This window comes from Homo sapiens, chromosome 8 (assembly GCF_000001405.40).
Source record: "Homo sapiens chromosome 8, GRCh38.p14 Primary Assembly".
NCBI lineage: Eukaryota > Metazoa > Chordata > Mammalia > Primates > Hominidae > Homo > Homo sapiens.
Window position 1 is genome coordinate 11,358,091 of NC_000008.11, and position 20,480 is coordinate 11,378,570.

Sequence of the window (20,480 nt, forward strand, 5' to 3'; positions counted from 1 at the left end):
TTTAGATTTGCATTAAACCTTCACTTTTTTTTCTTCTTCATCTAGGGGCTCTTGGCCAGCTGGGAGTGGGGCTTGCTAATCTTTTGAGGTAAGAGCCCTAAAAACTTGAAATTTAAAATCTGAGTTGTTAAGTATATGGAGCTCATTGGGATGCCTTTTAAACTTCTTTTCTCTCTCCTCTTGCTCCTTACCATTGTTAAGATATATCTAAATAACTGCTATATATAGCTATAGATATAGATATATAGAGATATAGATATAGATACAGATTTTTTTTTTTTGAGTTGGAGCCTCAGTCTGTCACCCAGGCTGTAGTGCAGTGGTGCAATCCCGGCTCACTATAACCTCCACCTCCTGGGTTCAAGTGATTCTCCTGCCTCAGCCTCCCGAGTAGCTGGGACTACAGGCACATACCACCACGCCTGGCTAATTTTTTTTATTTTTGGTAGAGATGGGCTCTCGCTATGTTGCCCAGGCTGGTCTTCTAACTCCTGGCCTCAAGTGATCTGCCCGCCTCAAGTGATCTGCCCACCTCACCTTTCCAAAGTGCTGGGATTACAGATGTGAGCTACTGTGCCCAGCCTAAAATACATTTTATTTTGCCTCTGAATATCCCAGACTTGTCGTAGGCCCTTGACTTAACATCTCCAGACTGGTCCTTTGCTCTCTTTCTGTTTCCTAACTTAGGCAAAGTGAGACACACATCTCCCAGTGAATCACTTTGACTTTTAGTTGTTTGAGAACCAAGGGAAGTACAGGTGCAAACTGGAAGGGAAGAGTGTGGGATTTGGAGAGAATGGGGTAAGAGAATAAGAAGAGGGGAGAGAAGATAAGAAGAATGATGAGGAAGAGGTAAAAACTCTGGGGGGTAATGGGAAGAAACCGGTGACAAGCATAGGGTTAACAGTCAGGTGAGAGGAGAAACAGAAGAGAGAGTCGTGGGCAGGGAAATAGAGGCCTGAGTGTGAGAGAGATAAGAATTGAAGGTGTGGGAATTGAGGATGAAGAGGAAGTAGAGATTTGGAGGCTGGCAGAAAATTACAGTTCTTATTTTAAAAGACTTCTCACAGGACTCATTGCATTCTAGATGTTGCCAACTTGTGTGGGTTAATTTTCCCTTTAGGAAACGATTTGGAAAGGACAGTGTGATTTTGTCTGACATAAGGAAACCCCCCGATCATGTCTTTCACAGTGGTAAGAGATCAATAGGTCTTGCTTTTATTTTTATCTCTAATTTTCAAGGCACAAAGAGGTGGCTCGTGAAATTGGTGCGTGCAGCAGCTCATAGCTGAATTTATGACTCAAAGAGAAGTTATTGAGGCACTGGTATTTCACTTAAAAATACGTATTTTACCCAAAGGATTATAAATCATGCTGCTATAAAGACACATGCACACGTATGTTTATTGCGGCACTATTCACAATAGCAAAGACTTGGAACCAACCCAAATGTCCAACAATGATAGACTGGATTAAGAAAATTTGGCACATATACACCATGAAATACTATGCAGCCATAAAAAATGGTGAGTTCATGTCCTTTGTAGGGACATGGATGAAGCTGGAAACCATCATTCTGAGCAAAGTATCGCAAGGACGAAAAACCAAACACCGCATGTTCTCACTCATAGGTGGGAATTGAACATTGAGAACACATGGACACAGGAAGGGGAACATCACACACTGGGGCCTGTTGTGGGGTGGGGGAGGGGGGAGGGATAGCATTAGGAGACACACCTAATGTTAAATGACTAGTTAATGGGTGCAGCACACCAGCATGGCACATGTATACATATGTAACAAACCTGCACATTTTACACATGTACCCTAAAACTTAAAGTATAATAAAAAAATATATATTTTTAATGCTGCTGCTTGTTCAAGTGATAAAAGAACAGAAGAATTCTTTTGACCTTGAAGTTTTTGGAATAATATATTTTGATGTTATTGGAAATGAAAACTTTGTTTCCTGTCTTTTTGTGTTTTAAGTTAACTTATTGACTTGGAGAGAATACAAACAAAAATCAAGAATAGAAACGAAAAGACACATACACACACACACACATAGACACTCACACACACATACACGCACATACACACATACACGCACATACACACATACACACATGCACATACACACATACACAGACACACGCACACACATACCCACACACGCACACACACAGACACACATACACACACATACACACATGCACACACATACACGCACACACACATACACATACACGCACACACACGCACATACACATACACACACATCCACACAGACACACACACACACCTCTCAAGCTCTTCTAATCAGGATTTTACTGCTTCAAAAATGTTTTTATGTCTAGGCATGGTGGCTCACACCTGTAATCCCAGCAATTTGGGAGGCTGAGGTGGGAGGATCACTTGAGTCTGGGAGTTCAAGACTAGCCTGGGCAATATAGTGAGACCCTGTCTCCACAAGAAATTAAAAATGAGCTGGGCATGGTGGCACGTGCCTGTAGTCCTAGCTACTTGGGAGGACCACTTGAGCCCACTAGATGGAGGCTGCAGTGAGCCATGATTGCATCACTGCACTCCAGCCTGAGCGACAGAGCAAGACTCTGTCCCCGCTGCCCCAAAAATAAGGTTTTGTAATGCCCCCAGTCCTTCCTGGTTCAGCATCAGCCTTTTGCTGCTCACCATGGGGAAGAGTGACAGTTTGCTGTAAGTGGGGAAAATTGGCACAGAGCAAGATCAACTTTACCTCTGTGTAATTAAGTATGATAAACTCATGGTTTGTGGGTTTTCTATACCAAGGTGGTGGTGGTGGTGAATAAGTCCGTTTCTCTATTCCTTTTCAAATGTGCACCTTGGAAGCAGAGTGAAGCCACTCTGTGTATACAGGGCTGGGAGGAACAGCACCCACTCTGGAGCCCGATGCCTAGCTGCAGCCCCATTTCCTCCACTTGTTCTCTGATCCTGGCAAGTTGCTTAACCTCTCGGTGCCTGTTTCCTTATCAGTAAAATGTGTTTACCTCCAAGGCTGTGTGGGAAAGAAATGGACTTATGTCCTTAGGACAGGGTCTGGCCCAGGCAGGTCCTATAGGAGCATTTGCTGTCATTACCTGGCGCGGGGTGGTTGTGACTTGTGATTCTTCCGTAAGAAAAATGCTGCCTAGTGCCCAGCTGTCTTAGTTATTGCGTGGCTACCAGTGAAATTCACAAGTCAACGGGGGAAAGGGGAAAGGTCCATTTAGTTCACAACCCTTTTCACGTTCGTGGTTTCAATTTATGTTCCTTGCAGGTCCATTCATTTATTCTGATATCTTGGATTACAAGAATCTTCGGGAGATCGTGGTAAACAACCGCATCACCTGGCTGTTTCATTACAGCGCTTTGCTCAGCGCCTTTGGAGAAGCAAATGTTTCCCTGGCGAGAGCAGTGAATATAACTGGTAAGCATCTGGCTCTGGCTGGATGTGATTTATTTGCCAGTTTTTCTAGTTCTTTAAGAAGAGATGTTTTCAGATTCTGATAGTGTCTGTTCATTTCAGGCCTGCATAACATCCTGGATGTCGCTGCGGAACACAATCTGCAATTGTTTGTGCCTAGCACGATTGGGGCTTTTGGACCCACCTCTCCCCGGAACCCAACCCCCGATCTCTGTATTCAGAGACCCAGGACCATCTATGGGGTGTCCAAGGTCCACGCGGAGCTCATGGGAGAAGTAAGCATCACTCAGCTGGATTGCTGAATGTGCCCTGGCTGTCACGATTTGCTGTTTGCTTTCTCATTCGTTTTGCCTCCAAGGCCTGGTGATTCATCCCTGGAGGAACTTTACCTCTTCTTGGATCCCAGCCCCAGAGTCGCTTACTTAACTCACTGGGTTTGCCATGTAGCAGGTGTCTCCAGCTCCTGAAACCTCCTCAGCCATATGGGAACACTCAGCACTTCCTGGGTGCCCCGTGCCCAGCCCCGATCTCTTCATTTGCTGCTTGTCTTGTACTCCACCATTCTTTCTGGCTCCTAGTATTGGTAGCCATTGGTAGTAACTCTAAAACCTCAAACATCTTGGGTTTGTTTTGTTTGTTTGTTTGTTTTATGAGACAGAATCTTGCTCTGTCACCCAGGCTGGAGTGTGGTGGCGTGATCTCAGCTCATAGCAGCCTCCGCCTCCTGGGTTCAAGGGATCCTCATGCCTCAGCCTCCGAAGTAGCTGGGATTATAGGCACGTGCCACCACACCCAGCTAAATTTTATATTTTTAGTAGAGGCAGTGTTTTGCCTTGTTGGCCAGGCTGGTCTCAAGCTTCTGACCTCAAGTGATCCACCCACTTCAGCATCCCAAAGTGCTGGGATTATAGGTGTGAACTACTGCAAAATACTCTTTATCTTTATAACTCTAGTAGATTCGAGTTGCTGCCTGCTCCTCCAGTTCTGTCATAGCCATGGCCCTCTCATCCACTGTTCTCTCCTCTGCTTTTCCCCGTGCTGCTTGTGGGAATGCACTCAGGCTGAATCGTTCAGAATGATGATCAGTGGCGCCTTTCCAAAGAGTGGCTGGAAATGCCTACTGTAGACTAATGTGTCATTTACAGCATTGATGTACCACCTAAAAGTTGATTTCTTTTAAAAGATAAAAACTTAGGAGTCTTTATTTTCTTTAGGAGTATTTAAATATAACTGCATGGAATGAGATTTCAGAAAAAGGCAGGGTGTTTTTTGGTTTTTTTTGTTTTTGTTTTTTTTGCATCTATCTGATTTAAAATATTTGTGTTTGAATACGTTTTCTCTTTTTCATGGTATTATCATTACCGGTATGGGTTAGATTTCTGATGCCTGAGATATCCTGGAATCATTTCAGCTGACTCCCAGCCTGGAGGAGGAACAACTGGTTAAGTGTTTTCTATTTCTTATGTCTCTTATATGTTAGATAGGCTTTCCAGCCAGGTGCGGAGGCTCATGCCTGTAACTCCAGCACTTTGGGAGGCTGAGGCAGGAGGATCACTCCAGCCAGAGACCAGCCTGGACAACACAGTGGGACCTTGTCTCTATGAAAAATAAACAAAAATTACCCAGGCATGATGGCCCACACCTGTAGTCCCAGCTACTGGGGAGTCTGAGGCAGGAGGGCCTCTTGAGCCCGGAAGGCCAGGGTTGCAGTGAGCTGAGATCGTGCCACTGCACTCCAGCCTGGGTGAGTGACAGAGTGAGACCCTGTCTCAAAAATAAAAAACAACAACAAAAAAACACCCACCAAAAAAAAAAAAAATAGACTGACTTATTGCTAGGTGGAGTTGTCTTCGTAGTAAATGAATTTGCTATCTTTTTAGCTGTATGCTGACCAGAGTTTTTCTGTAATATCTCCCGATATGCATTTTAAAAGCACAGTGAACCCAATTGGCTTACACTCACTAAGGGTAGCACATGCCAGCGTTGTCAGTTCAGCTCGGGATTGGCCACCCACAGTGGCAGAATAAAACGTAATATTCAACAACAAATCTGTGACTCACAGTGTAGGAAGACCCCCAGCAAGCAGCAGCCTCTCGTTTCTTAACACGCAGAGAGAGCCCTATTAAAATAGACTCTAGGCATTGTGTATGTGAAAGGAACATAAGTATGATTATTATTTTGGACTCAAACACTCATTCTGTTTCATAAGTCCCACATCAGGTATCCTTCCCACATCTGTGGTCCTGAGAATGAATATGGAAGGTACTTGACCGCATCAGAGGGATTTGGAAGCAGGCCTTAAAAAGCTTCTGCTTTTTAATATGGTGCTTCTCCAGGTGTGATCTGGGGAGCTCCGGTCATCCTCCAGCACTTTCAAGGGGTCTTGGGGGTCAAAAATCTTATCAATATGGAGACGTTACTGGCCTTTTTCACTCTACTTTCACAAATGCATTGTAGAGTTTTCCAGAGGTGGTGTGGCGTGTGAGATAAGAACGGACTGGATACAGAAGCAGATGGGGGCTCCAGCGGACCCCTATCAAGCCAGACCCTAAAGAGATTTTTAGAATGTACAGCAGACCATCCTTCTCAGTAAATTTTGTTTGTTTAGAAAATATACCCTTTTTCCTATAAAATGTTATACATATTAATATGTGATAGGCTTATTGTCGTTTAAAAAGGTAATATTCTAAACAATTCTCAGTTAACTCTGTTTCAGTAAATATTGATATAACCCACATTAGTCAGATCTCTTTGGGAGTTCTCAATTCTTTTTTTTGAGATGGAGTCTTGCTCTGTCACCCAGGCTGGAGTGCGGTGGCGTGATCTCAGCTCACTGCAGTCTCCATCTCTCCTGGGTTTGAGCGATTCTCATGCTTCAGCCTCCCAAGTAGCTGGGATTACAGATGTGTGCCATCACGCCTGGCTAATTTTTGTATTTTTAGTAGAGCTGGGGTTTCACTGTGTTGGACAGGCTGGTCTTGAACTCCTGATCTCAGGTGATCTGCCTGCCTCGGCCTCCCAAAGTGCTAGGACTACAGGCCTGAGTTACTGAGCTTGACTGGACTTCTTAATTTTTAAGAATCTGTTATAAAAAGACTCTGAGACTAGAACATTTGAGAACTGCTGCCTTGATCCAAGAGGCTCATTCATTGTTTTGTTATAACCTACATACGGGATTCCCTTTCAGACTATGCAGTCCAGATTTTCCATGATGCCACAAAGCATGGCAAATTCGAGTGCAACCTGGAAGCCTGCACGAGACTGCCCATGATGTACATTGACGACTGCCTCAGAGCCACCCTGGAGGTCATGGAGGCCCCAGCTGAGTCCCTTTCCATGAGGACCTACAATGTCAGCGCCATGAGCTTCACACCCGAGGAGCTGGCCCAGGAGGTCCTCAAGCACGTGCCGGAATTCCAGATCACATACAACGTGGATGCCGTTCGCCAGGCCATAGGTTCGTACCCGGTGGCAAAGGCCTTTACTGTGAGTCCCTGGAGAATGTAAACCTTGGAAGGTTGAAGAGAGCATAGATCCTTCCCAAGGGTCCAGACACCTTTTGGAGAAGGAGCCTAGCCCAAGAAATTGTTGAGCCCAAGCTAGCAGATGCTTTGATTTTGGGGAATGATATCTAAAGTGGGTGAAATCATTCCATTCCAAATAAACAGCTTGTTAGCCTTTCATCATTTTTACAGTTTAAACATAAAGCAAGGAAAAATAGAAGCAACAGAGGTAGTATGAAAACAGCCCCAGGTTTTCAAATACTGTAACTTTGCCAATTTGTGGATGGAAGCACCTCTTTGAGTATAAAACTTCTTATGAAGTTGTGTGAGATTTTGATAATGTGTGAAAATTCACAGTGCCTGACGAAAGATGGGTTAATAGTCTTCGGCCCTAGGAGGGTGACTGTGCATAATGGCGGTTCTGCTTTACTCGAAGGAATTTCCTGTTTTGTACCTTGTACGGTAGACCTTTATATACAATGGTCAAGACCTTTTTGCAAATCCACAACCTGAATAACTTAAGCTAGTCTTGCGTATCTTTTCCTAGCGGATGGTTGGCCGATGAACTTTGATGACAGCAATGCTCGGAAGGACTGGGGGTGGAAACACGACTTTGATCTTCCAGAGTTGGTGACTGCCATGTTGAACTTCCATGGTTCTGAAAGCAGAGTTGCCCAAGCCAACTGAAAGAATCTGGAAGAGGAGCTCCTGTGTCCTGGTCCACTGTCAAGGGAGAACTGTCACAACTCCAAGGTTATAGACTCCAAGGAGCCTACATTATTTGGAACTGACTCATTGGACTAAATTTTGGCAGCTCATATTGAACTGCTAGACAAAGAATGGAGTTAACATTTAAGCATTTTCAGAATGTTGTAGGTATGGTGGTGGGACTTTTCAGTTTTTGCTGTTTGCCTGAACTTGTCTAAACACATTCCACAGAATAAGGCTTAAGTCATCATTAGTTTCCATTTCCTTAATTAGGATGAAGTGACTATTTCTGGGAAGCTGGGAGTATGTGACATTTGTGTTTAATTAAATTCAATTTAAATATTCCTCTTAAGACTCGATTATTCTCTTGACTAAAGACCAAAGATTACATTTTAAGGACTTTCAAAGAGGTACTCCTCATTTATAAGTATTCTTTACTATCCCAGCGAAAGTAAAACATGTTTGGTGTATTCATCCCATGTCTATCACATTCAAGATATTTTGACACTGCTTCAAAAATTATAATTTCTGGTTTTTCTGTAAGATGCTAGATCTGTGGGAAATTAAGAATTCAAAGATGATGTAACCAGCGAAGGGTAGCCCTGCTCTTATTTTGATTGCCCTCCTATTAGTGAGCTAAATGTAATTCCCAGGAACATAATTCCCTGACCTGGCAACATCAGCATCTAGGGAGATTGTCTAATACACAGGTTTCTGGGCTACATCCCTTTAGATTCACTCATTAAGTGCCAGGTGCCACTGGTTATTTGAATCCAGCTGAGGCCCACTAGTCAGACCAGTTTAGACCAATGCAGTTTTCTAAAGAGCACTTTCTTGTTGCATCTTTTTTTTTTAAGATATTCCTGGGTTGAGCTTTCAGAAGGGCTACTCTAAACCCTCTGATGCAATTACCGTATAGATACATACAGGTTAACTTTTTAAGTTGAAGTTAGGCCAAATCAATTTCTGATTGTATTTTATGGTAAGGGAATGAGTGTGTTCAGAAAATGCTTTCAATCCGGTCATTTAAAAAAATATTTCTGGTGCAATACTGTATAGACACGTACAGGTTAACTTTTTTCCAGCGACCTCGGAATGTACTGCATGTAAAATCACTAGGAAGTGAAACTTCCAGTTCCACAGATTAATCATGGATATATTTGATAACAGCTATCAAGGATTAAAAGGCGTTTATTTATGTTGCATGCTTAATAACAAAATGTTATGCATTTGGAGTTTTGAACTGTTAGGTCAAAGCGTGGATTTTTTTGAAGGCATAACTGGATTTAAAATCTATTTGACTATTAACTGGAGAACTTTTAGGTAATTGAATTGTTTAACAGTTACATTACTGTAGCTTTTTCCTCCACTTAATAAGGTTTATGTTTGTAGATTTTATTTTTTTGTTATTTTTCTTTTGGGCTGCTCTTGAGAGGCAGGAAGATTTTATTTTTTAAAATCAGAAAGTTAGTAATGAATTCTTTTTTTGAAAGTTTGAGATATAGTTTACATACCATAAAATTCACTCATTTATAGTTCTGTGGTTTTCAATGTATTAAAAAGTTTTGCAACCATCACTATAATCTAATTTTAGGCCATTTCATCACCCCACAAAGAAATCATATTATATAAGCCCTTCCCACCCTCGGCAACCACTAATGTACTTCTTCTGTCCCTGGGTTTGTCTGTTCTGAGCATTTTATGTAAGTGGAATGTGGTTGTCTTTTAGTGGCTTCTTTAATTAAGCAGTCCATTTTCAAGGTTCATCCATGTTTTAGCATGTATCACTACTTCATTTTTTATTGCTAAGTAATATTCCATTGTATGAGTAATCCTCTTATTTTCTCTATCCATTCATCCATTGAGGGACATTTAGGTTTTTTGCACTTTTTAAGCTATTATGAATAATGCTGCTGTGAACATTTGGGTAGATAATTGAGTTTTAAAATGATTGCTTACTGTTTATAGTTTAAAAAACAGTTCTTAAGTTTGATTAATTTATTCTCAGTTATCTTAAAGGAACAAGCAATTCTTCCCTTTCATAAGATAAGAAGCAGCAACTCGAGTGACCTTTGTCTCCTAGACCCTAACCTTCCAGCATTTCTACCAGGCTCCTAGAATGACCTTTAATTCGGATCATTTGGAGGGGTTTGTTCCAAACAGGTTCCTTGAATCTTTCCCAATCTGTAAACACACCTCCAGGAGATCTCAAATAAGAGTGAAAAAATAATGAATGCTTCAGCTTCTTTGGATGATTCTTATTCACTGACATCTTTGTACTCCAAGACTAGAATTAGAGTTGTCCCTTCTGTCTGAACACTCAGTATCTGGTGCACATCTTGGGATCCCGGAGCCCATCAATGTTTTCCTGTAAAATGCTTTCCGTTCTGTTGGGAGAAAGGGTTTTTTATGATTAATTTGGAAATAACCCAAAAAGCTATTTGAAGGAAAAGTGGGTTTAACCACAAAAATAGTTTATTTATAAATAAAAAAGAAAGAATACAAAGATTGGCTTTGTTCTGATGTTTTACACAGGCTACCGGTGGTTATTAGTTTTCTGCTCACATGTTTGTGTGTGGCGTTGCTGGGATGTGCCTTGTGTTGCTACACAAACAGCGATCCCGAAGTCTGCCAGCAAGATAGATGGCCTGGAGTCCAGAACAGACTGGATTAGTGAAAGCTACTGCAGTGCTTTGGACACTTACTATGGTAGGTGGGAGATATTTAGTATTTTTTAATTCACATAGGCCAAATCACCAATTTGTGATTGTATTTTATGGTAAGGGTGTTCAGAAAATGCTTTAAATTCTGTCATTTTAAAAAAATGTTTATTAAGAGTTCAGACAATTTAAAAGATATATAATAAAGTTGTCTTCCCCTCCAAACCCAATCAATAACATGTTAGCAGTGTAGTGTGGGACCCAGTGCAGTGGCTCACACCTGTAATCAGTACTTTAGGAGGCTGAGGCAGGAGGATTGCTTAAAGCCAGGAGTTCAAGACCAGCCTGGACAACATAGCAAGACTCTCATCTCTACAAAAATAATTTAAGCCAGATGTGGTGATGCACACCTGTAGCTGCTACTCACGTGGCTGAAGCTGAGGGATCACTTGTAGCCAGGAGTTTGAGGCTGCAATGAGCTATGCTTGCGCCACCATACTCCAGCCTGAGCCACAGAGCGAGACCATCTCAAACAACAACACACAAAAAAACTAGTGTATACCTTTTATTTTCTCCTGTGCTTATACAATCTAGGAGTGGAAGGTGAAACCTTTTTCTTTTCTTTTACTATAAAAGTAGTGCTAAGACAATATTGTCAAAAGTTTTGGAAAAGACTCACTTTCAATTTTTGCCATGTCACATGGTAGCTGTTTTAAAATATTCTCCAGTCCTCTATGCGTTACAAAGAACTTACATGTAGTTTTAACATTTGCCATTTAAAGATAGCTGCATAACTCGTTGAATGGAGTATCATAATGATGTCATTCTATTTAATTGCTGAAACCTAGAAGTACAATTACTGGGTCACAGGGCGTAAACACCTACTTGCCTCTTCATTTTATGTGGTCAAATTTATCTTCGGAACGAGTTGGATTAATTTGTGATGAAATTCTCGACCATCAACACCTTCCTCTTGGCACATATTCATGGACCTCAGTATGGTTTACATTTGTTGAAAAGTTTTATTTTTGTGGCTGGGTGCAATGACTCATACTTGTAATCCCAGCACTTTTGGGAGGCTGAGGCAACAGGATCAGTTGAAAGTTTTATTTTTCTAAAAGGTTTGAAGAATATAAACTTCATTTTTTGCTGGAGAATCTTAACATTCTAATACAAGAGCCGTGAGTGAATAAATCCTAGATCTCACATAACCGGATGATAACTGCCTCTAAATCAGTGAATTGCTTCCAAAAATCACCGGTGAGAAAGGAATCTTGTTTTTTAATGATTTTTTTTTAGGGTAGTCACTTTAAAAAAAATTATTTCATGGCACTGTTTTTATAGCTTTAGTATGTTTGTCTATAAGGTAGCTAAACAGGCCACCCCTTACCTTCCAATGTGAAGATCCCAGAAAACTTTTTTTTAGCCAACTTACATATATAAAGTTTAGGATTGTAGATGAGAGGATAAAATAGACACCTGTACTATTAGTTGCAGGTGTTTCAGATTTGTTAATCTATTAACCAGCATGTGGGCTTTCCCTCTTCACATTCGCATTTCAGGCATGTCACTCCGACTTCGTATTTGATCTTGGTGCCCCCTTTGGCATCCCCTAATAGGTTAAGAGCAGATGATCTTTTTTCTTTCTAAGTTGTTTGGGATGCAGCAGTTTCGGGGTCTATGTATGATGCTGTTGGTGGACATTTATCCCAAGCCACAAGTATGCCTGTGTGTAGGTAGCACTAGGGCAGCTGCTTTTCAGAATCCACAGAGCATTGCTTTCGATTTTTAACAGGCTTCTTTCCAGTGACACCAAATACTTGTAACTGTAGCTTTATAATCCTAGAGACCGTGACTGTTAATGTGCCTCCTTTACAACTTATCCTACCAGCCACAATATTAGCATTGCTTAAGGTTGTTTGAGGCTAATAATGTTTCCACAGAACAATAACTTGTATTCTTTTCAGGTTACCGACAGCATTTAGTATATCCTGAAAGAGTGTAATGTTTCAAATATAAGGTGAGCATCCCTAAGGGGATAGTTTCGGGAGATAACTCTGCCTTATTTTGGGAGTATATGTGATACCTTGTCTGTTGATCCATTTGTCTGAAGTCCTTAAGAAAAGCTTTTCTCTTTTGTTAAAAGGTCAAAAATTTAAAAATTATTTTGCCCAGTTCTTTCTTTACGCTGTAAGTACAATTCTTCTGTACCTACATTGCTGTAAGAAGTTTAAATATAATTTGTAATTTAAGTTGTAGTATGAAAGAATGAACCAGAACAAGTAGCTGCCTCCAAGGTTGTACTTTCCCAATTTTTTAATATTCAAGGCACCTAGAAAATGTATCATTAAAAATATGTTATTAAAATATGCTGTTATTTGTAATACACACTATTATTTTTATGTTCTAAGAAAGGAAGAAAACTTGCATTTAAATAGACACAATGGCCAAGTGCAGTGGCTGATGCCTGTAATCCCAGCACTTTGAGAGGCTGAGGGAGGAGGATCGCTTGAGTCCAGGAGTTCAAGACCAGCCTGGGCAACACAGGGAGACCCTGTCTCTACAAAAATTGGCTGGGTGTCATGGTGTGAGCCTGTAGTCCCAGCTAGTTGGGAGGCTGAGGTGGGAGGATAACTTCAGCCCAGGAGGCAGAGGCTGAAGTGACTATGATCAGAGCATTGCACTCCACCCTGGGCAACAGAGCCAGACCCTATCTCTGAAAAAAACAAAAGAAAAAAGAAACAGAACGCTTTCTTGTTGTTTGGACTTTTTACTTTGTATCCCATTGAGGAGCTCTTTGAGACTTTGCTAGATGCAGATGTTATCACTTGCGCATCTGTAGAAACGGATCTAGAAATGTATGTTTGTTTGTTTTCCTGAAACTTCGGGTTTTGCTTTTCTGAATCACTTTTTGACTCAGTGGTTGGTGTCTCTGGTTTTTCCACCCAGTGTTGTTCTCTGTGCCAGTATGAGTTTTATGTCAGAGCACTCCTTAAAAGAATTCATAAAACCTAAAAGTCACTGGCACTGTAAACCAGCTTTATAGTTACGCCAATCTCGCCTACTTTTGACACCTGCTTTAGGAATGTGCTAACTCTATTTGGTTTGCCCAAAACCTTAAACTCTTTGGTTCCTAGGAGTTACAATGATGGCTGAATGTTTCTCCTGGCCTCTGACACCCACTGCGCAGGGTTCAGTGCTGTGTTTGGAAGGTGCCTATGTCACCAATAGGCAATGCTAGCACTATTACAATCACAACCTGTACAAAAGAAGTTGTAGGATAATCCTGATTTCAAATACGTAAAAATCTGGAAGAAAATGTGAGTCTTAGCAGAGGGTGAGATGTGGTTGCATTTGCAACCACTAGTGTGCCAGGGCAGTCCCCGCCCTGCTCAGACTGCTACCTCGAGGGCTGAAACGATCCCAGGAAAGCTCAGCAGTAGATGGTCACTGCAGGGCTCACACCTTCCTTTCGCATGGCTGGGGAGGGGGGCGTTAGCAGATGTGGTGGGCACTAAAGGAGTTGCTAAGGTTGGCAGCAAAGTGCCAGGCCTCATGGGAGAAAAGAGGAGATGGGATATGAGCTGCCAGGAGACAACGGTTGGGAAGAGCAGATTGTCCCATGGGGGGTTAGGTCCTGTGTGGTTCCTAGGATGCGATCCATCCTTTTTGTTCCATAAAATGTTAGGCGATGCTTTCGTGTCCCATTAGTGGAGCTGCAGCACCGGAGGCTGCTGCAGAGGGCTGGAAGGGACCGTGAGTAGGTAGGCGGGGCAGGGCTCCCCACTCTCTTGATCACACCACCGTCTTCTGAGTTATAAAAGGAAGAAAGACTTGTTGTTTCTAGAATATTTTGTTAAAGATACAGTGCTCATCTACCAAGGCGTCTAGATCTCAGATTATGTGTCAAGATGAAACCAAAAATCTTCAAGAAAAATTTATGCTGCATAGTCCTTTTCCCTCCCCTCCCCCCGCCAGGACAGGGTCTTGCTCTGTCACCCAGGCTGGAATGTAATGGTGCAATCTTGGCTCACTGCAACCTCTGCCTCCCAGGTTCAAGCGATTCTCCTGCCTCAGCCTCCAGAGTAGCTGGGATTACAGGCACACACCACCACACCCAACTAATTTTTGTATTTTTACTAGAGACAGGGTTTCGCCATGTTGGCCAGGCTGGTCTTGAACTCCTGGCCTCAGGTGATCCATCTGCCTCGGCCTCCCAATGTGCTGGAATTACAGACGTGATTCACCGTGCATGGCCAGTACTTTTTCAGTATTATCTGAAATTAACAACCTGAGAGGTTGAGGTCCCATTTTAAGTATCTACCTACTTTCTTTTTAAGTTTTTAATTAATTTTTTTAAATGTAAGAATTTTACATGGTAAAATTCAGGCAGCACAAATGGGTAAATACAGTGAAAAGTGTGTCTGTCCTTCAGCTGCCCTCTCCAGAGGCAACCATGACTGGGTGCAGATTTGCACATTCAGCTACATATATACCTATTTATGTGTGTGTGTGTGTATGTGTGTGTATTTCCCTTATTTTTCTAAAGCATGAATATTATGTACATTCCTTTTTCACTTGACAACCTAGGAGACTTTTCAACATCAGTTTTTTGGGATCTACCTCATTCATTTTAAAAGCTGCATCACTTTTTATTGTACGGATGCACAAAAGCATAGTTAACTGATTCCCTCATTTTGGACAATTAGACTCATCCCTCTTTCACTATTGCAAACAATGCTACAAATAACTTCATCGCAAATGTAAGCTGTAAGCCTTTATTGGCTAAAACATACAAAAATTAGCTGGGTGTGATGGTGCGTGCCTGTAATCCTAGCTATTCAGGAGGCTGAGGTATAAGAATAGCTTGAATCTGGGAGGCTGAGGTTGCAATGAACTGAGATCGTGCCACTGAACTCCAGCCTGGGCGACAGAGCGAGACTTTGTCTCAAAAAAAAAAAAAATTATGAGATAACTTGCCGAGATGTTTTTATGAAAAGAGCTACGTGGGATAAACATTTCTTGTTTTCAATTGGGAGCAGCTGATTTAGAAGTGGACCGACCTATCAATTTCTGGGTACTTACTTCATTATTGCCACGGTTTAAATTACTGATACTCATAGTTTATGTTCCATTCCAAATTAATAAGACAAAGTAATCCTTTTGAATTTTTTTATGTTGAAACGTTCACTATGTGAAAGAATAATCTACCATTATCAAGATAATAGCACAGCAAAGTATTTGTCAATCTTGGCAGAAAATCATAAAGTGTGTTGAACTGATGACGACTAAACATGTAGGATGCTAGTGAAAGATGGAAAAGTGATGGAAGCCTATGTTCCCAGCATAATTTTAAAAGTGCAGGTGCTCATAAACTAGAACATCCGGAAGAAATAGATAAATCCCTGGACACACACACCCTCCCAAGACTAAGCCACAAAGAAATTGAATCCCTGAACAGACTATTAATGAGCTTCAAAATTTAGGCATTAATAAATAGCATACCAACCAAAGAATCTCAAGATCAGAAAGACTCACAGCCAAATTCTGCCAGGTATACAAAGAAGAGCTGGTACCATTCCTACTGAAAGTGTTCCAAACTCCTCCCAACTCATTCTATGAGGCCAGCATCATCCTGATACCAAAACGTGGCAGAGACACACATAAAAAAAGAAAGCTTCAGACTAATATCCCTGATGAACATTGATGCAAAAATCCTCAACAGAATATTGGCAAACTGAATCGAGCAACACATCAAAAAGCTAATCCACCATGATCAAGTAGGCTTTATCCCTGGGATGCAAGGTTGGTTCAACATATGCAAATCAATGAATGTGACTCACCACATAAATGGATCTAAAGACAAAAACCACATGATTATTTCAACAGATTAAGAAAAGGCTTTCAGTAAAATTCAACACTATGTTAAAAACTTTCAATCAACTAGGTATTGAAGGAACATACCTCAAAATAAAAGCCATCTATGACAAACCCACAGCCAACATCATACTGAATGGGCAAAAGCTGGAAGCATTCCCGTTGAAAACTGGCATAAGATAAGGATGCCATCTCTCACCACTCCTACTTTACATAGTATTGGATGTCCTGACCAGGGCAATCAGGCAAGAGAAAAAAAATAAAGCACATCCGAATAGGAAGAGAGGAAGTTAAACTATCCCTGTTTGCAGATGACATAATCCTATACCTTGAAAACTCTACAGTCTCTACCCAAAAGCCCCTTAAACTGATAAACAACTTCAGCAAAGTCTCAGCCTACAAAATCAATGTACAAAAATGACCAGCATTCTTGTACACCAACAATAGTGAAGCCAAGAACCAAATCAGAAATGCAATCCCGTTCACAATTGCCACAAAAAGAATACCTAGGAATACAGCTAACCAGGAAGGTGAAAGATCTCTACAAAGAGAACTACAAAACAGTGCTCAAAGAAATCAGAGATGACACAAACAAATGGAAAAACATTCCGTGTGCATGGATAGGAAGACTCAATATCATGAAAATGGCCATACTGCCCAAAGCAATTGATAGATTCAATGATATTCCCATCAAACTAGCAATGACATACTTCACAGAAATAGAAAAAACTATTTTAAAATTCATGTGGAACCAAAAAGGAGTCCCGATAGCCAACGCAATCCTAAGCAAAAAGAACAAAACTGGAGGCATCACGCTAGCTTCAAACTATACCACAGTAACCAAAACAGCATGGTACTAGTACAAAAACAGACACACAGACCATGGAACACAATAGAGAGCCCCAAAATAAGGCCACACACCTACAACTATCTGATCTTTGATGAAGCTGACAAAAACAAGCAATGGGAAATGACTCCCTATTCAATAAATGGTGCTGGCATAACTGGCCAGTCACATGCACAAGATTGAAACTGGACCCCTTGCTTACACCATATATGAAAATTAACACGAGATGGATGAAAGACTTTAAAACCCAAAACTATAAAAAACCTGGAAGACAACCTAGGCAATACCATTCTGGAGACACAGGAACAGGCAGATTTCATGACGAAGATGCCAAAAGCAATTGCAACAAAAGCAATCATTGACAAATGGGATCTAAATAAACTAAAGAGCTTCTGCACAGCAAAAGAAATGATCCACAAAGTAAACAGACAACCTACATAATGGGAGAAGTTTTTGCAAACTGTGCACATGACAAAGGTCTAATATCCAACGTCTATAAGTAACTTAAATTTACAAGAAAAACACAACTCCGTTAAAAAGTGGGCAAAAGACATGAACAGACACTTTTCAAAAGAAGGTATACATGTGGCAAATCATATGAAAAAAGCTCAACATCATTGATCATTAGAGAAATGCAAATTAAAACGACAATGAGATACCATCTCACAACAATCAGAATGGATATTACTAAAATTAAAAAAACAATAGATGCTGGTGAGGTTGTGGAGAAAAAAGAAGCCTTATACATTGTCGGTGGGAGTGTAAATTAGTTCAACCATCATTGAAAGCAGTGTGGTGATTCCTGAAAAACCTAAAAACAGAACTACCATTTACAATCCCACTACTGCATATATACCCAAAGGAATAGAAAACGTTCTATCATAAAGACACAGGCATGTGTATATTCATTGCAGCACTATTCACAATAGCAAAGACATGGAATCAACCTAAATGCCCATCAATGACAGATTGAATAAAGAAAATGTGGTACATATACACAATGGAATGCTATGGTGCCATAAAAAGAACAAGACCACGTTCTTTGCAGGAACACGGATGGAGCTGGAGGCCAGTATACTTAACAAACTAACACAGAAACAGGAAACCAAATACTGCATGTTCTCGCTTATAAGTGGGAGCTAAAAGATGAGAACACGTGGACACACAGAGGGGAACAACACACACTGGGGCCTTTTGGACGGTGGAGGGTAGAAGGAGGGAGAGGATCAGGAAAAATAACTGGTAGGTACTAGGCTTAATATCTGGGTGCTGAAATAATCCGTACAACAAACTCCCATGACATGAGTAGTTTACCTGTATAATAAACCTGCACATGTACCCTTGAACTTAAGAAAATTCTTTCATGTTAAACATTCACATACACACACAAAAATTAAAAATTAGAAGTGCAGATGCTGTTTATAAGCACTCACTTATGTATCTAGAACTTTGTGCTGTTGGCTTTTTCTTCTAGGCAGCTCTCAGCTGTCAGTACCACTAAAGCCTGCAGCCAGCATTTGTCTTATTCCTGGATCTCTAAGTTCAGTTTTCCATGAATCATGACCCATGGAGCCCACAAGTAGACTCGAAGCCCAGCAAATACCAAGAATGTTATCTTCCTTCTTTCTCTGATGACACTGGCATCTCTGAACGTGAGCCTACTGGGCGCACTGAAAATCTGTATTTCTCCCAAACAAGTATAAAAGTGTGTAAATCTGATTTTAGAGGGATGTTTGATTAGGGGGGAAAGCTTTGCACCTGGGAGAGAAATTACTCTGGCTGTCATTTTGCCCCAAATTGTGTAATCTTAACAGAATCACTTCTTGTCTTGACTTTTCATTTCCTCATCTGCAAGAGACGATGAGAGTCCAGCTTCACAGACTACTTCCTCCCCACCCTGCAAACTGTGATTTTAATCAGGTAATTCTGCCCATACTGAATTATTTTCAATAAAAAGTATAGAACATTGGGAACATTTGAAGAAACAGCTGTAACATGTAAATTATTAAACATGATAACAAAGCAAACTGCTGTGAATTCACAACTGATCATTCCCACAAAACCTCCTCTCCCCGCCACTGTTTTGGCTTGCCCAGTTTTGCTCGTTAGAGGCGGACATCACAGCATTCCCTCTTTACCAGCGCGATGTTAAGGTTCTAATGCAAGATCACCTGATAGTTCCATTTTCTTCTTCCCTTTAAATAAACGGTTGTCAAAATACCTTCATTTAAAAATGACTTTCCTGCTTCTAATCCCAGCCCTTTGGGAGGCCATGGTGGGCAGATCACTTGAGTCCAGGAGTTCAAGACCATCCTGGGGAACATGGGAAAACCCCATCTCTACTAAAAATACAAAAATTAGCTGAGCATGGTGATATGCGCACCTGTAGTCCCAGTTACTCAGGAGGCTGAGGTAGGATGATCGCTTGAGCCCGGGAAGTCGAGGATGCAGTGAGCCAAGATTGTGCCACTACACTCTAGCCTGGGTGACAAAGCGAGACCCCGTCTCAAAAACATAAAAATGAAAATGAAAATGACTTTCCTTAAAATTATTCAGCACATCCATATTAAAACAAAATTATTTGGTGGTTTTGGTGAGGAACATACTTGTCTAATGGCTAAAATCAGGATTTCCATTCTGTCAAATAGGAAGAACATTATACTGGAGCAGTTTGAAAATTTCTAGTTTCCTTGTTGGCATATAATTGTTTTTGGAGGGAAAAAACCCCAAACATTTGCTAAATATCTGCCATATGCATTGAAACTAATTTTGTAATGTTCACCAAATTCTGAAAACGAACTGCTGTGCTGACATATTTATTCGGTCTTGAAACAGATGGGAGTCTGTGTGAGGGGGAGAAGTGATTTTTAGGAATCAAAAGTATTTAGGAAGTGAAAAAATTTCAAGAATCTTTTAATAAAAGACTCAAAAATTATCCCTGTTAATATCAAATTTTGGCCATGAGGTTTTTCATATAGTTATGTGGAAACTCTTTCCAATGCTTCTGTTCAGGTCAGACAGTTTACAATTTCCTGGGAAGACTCCTTTGTGCCAACCGTATTCTTTATTTTATATTTTAACATCTGTTCTTTGACTTATGATGGGATTACCTTCCGATAAACGTATCGTAAGGTGGGAATATTGTGTAAATATTAAATAAAAAATGCATTGAATATACCTAATGTACCAAATATCCTAGCTCAGTCCACCTTAAACATGCTCAGAACACTTACATTGGTGTACAGTTGGACAAAATCATCTAACACAAAGCCTGTGTTATACTAAAATGTTGACAATCTCATGTAATGTATTGAACACTGTATGAAAAGTGAAAAACATAACGGCTTATGGGTACTCGAAGTACAGCTTCCAAAATGGTAAGTTGATCCATAGTAAATCTGAGACTATCTACTTTAGTAAATGCTTCTGTTTTGCTATTACTT

At 40.8% G+C, this 20,480-nt stretch overlaps 1 long non-coding RNA gene and 1 pseudogene across 2 annotated transcripts in view; both read left to right on the plus strand.

Annotated features, from left to right (window-relative positions):
• Positions 1 to 10,362, plus strand: part of TDH (L-threonine dehydrogenase (pseudogene)) — a 28,816-nt pseudogene extending 18,454 nt beyond the window's left edge. The window contains exons 3-9 of the transcript NR_001578.1: positions 46 to 88; positions 1,124 to 1,194; positions 3,296 to 3,445; positions 3,545 to 3,717; positions 6,630 to 6,899; positions 7,493 to 7,698; positions 10,189 to 10,362. The product of NR_001578.1 is annotated as an L-threonine dehydrogenase (pseudogene) (transcript). The remainder of the gene's footprint in view (positions 1 to 45; positions 89 to 1,123; positions 1,195 to 3,295; positions 3,446 to 3,544; positions 3,718 to 6,629; positions 6,900 to 7,492; positions 7,699 to 10,188) is intronic.
• Positions 10,312 to 20,480, plus strand: part of FAM167A-AS1 (FAM167A antisense RNA 1) — a 70,256-nt gene continuing 60,087 nt past the window's right edge. The window contains exon 1 of the long non-coding RNA NR_026814.1: positions 10,312 to 10,362. This is a non-coding gene — a long non-coding RNA (FAM167A antisense RNA 1). The remainder of the gene's footprint in view (positions 10,363 to 20,480) is intronic.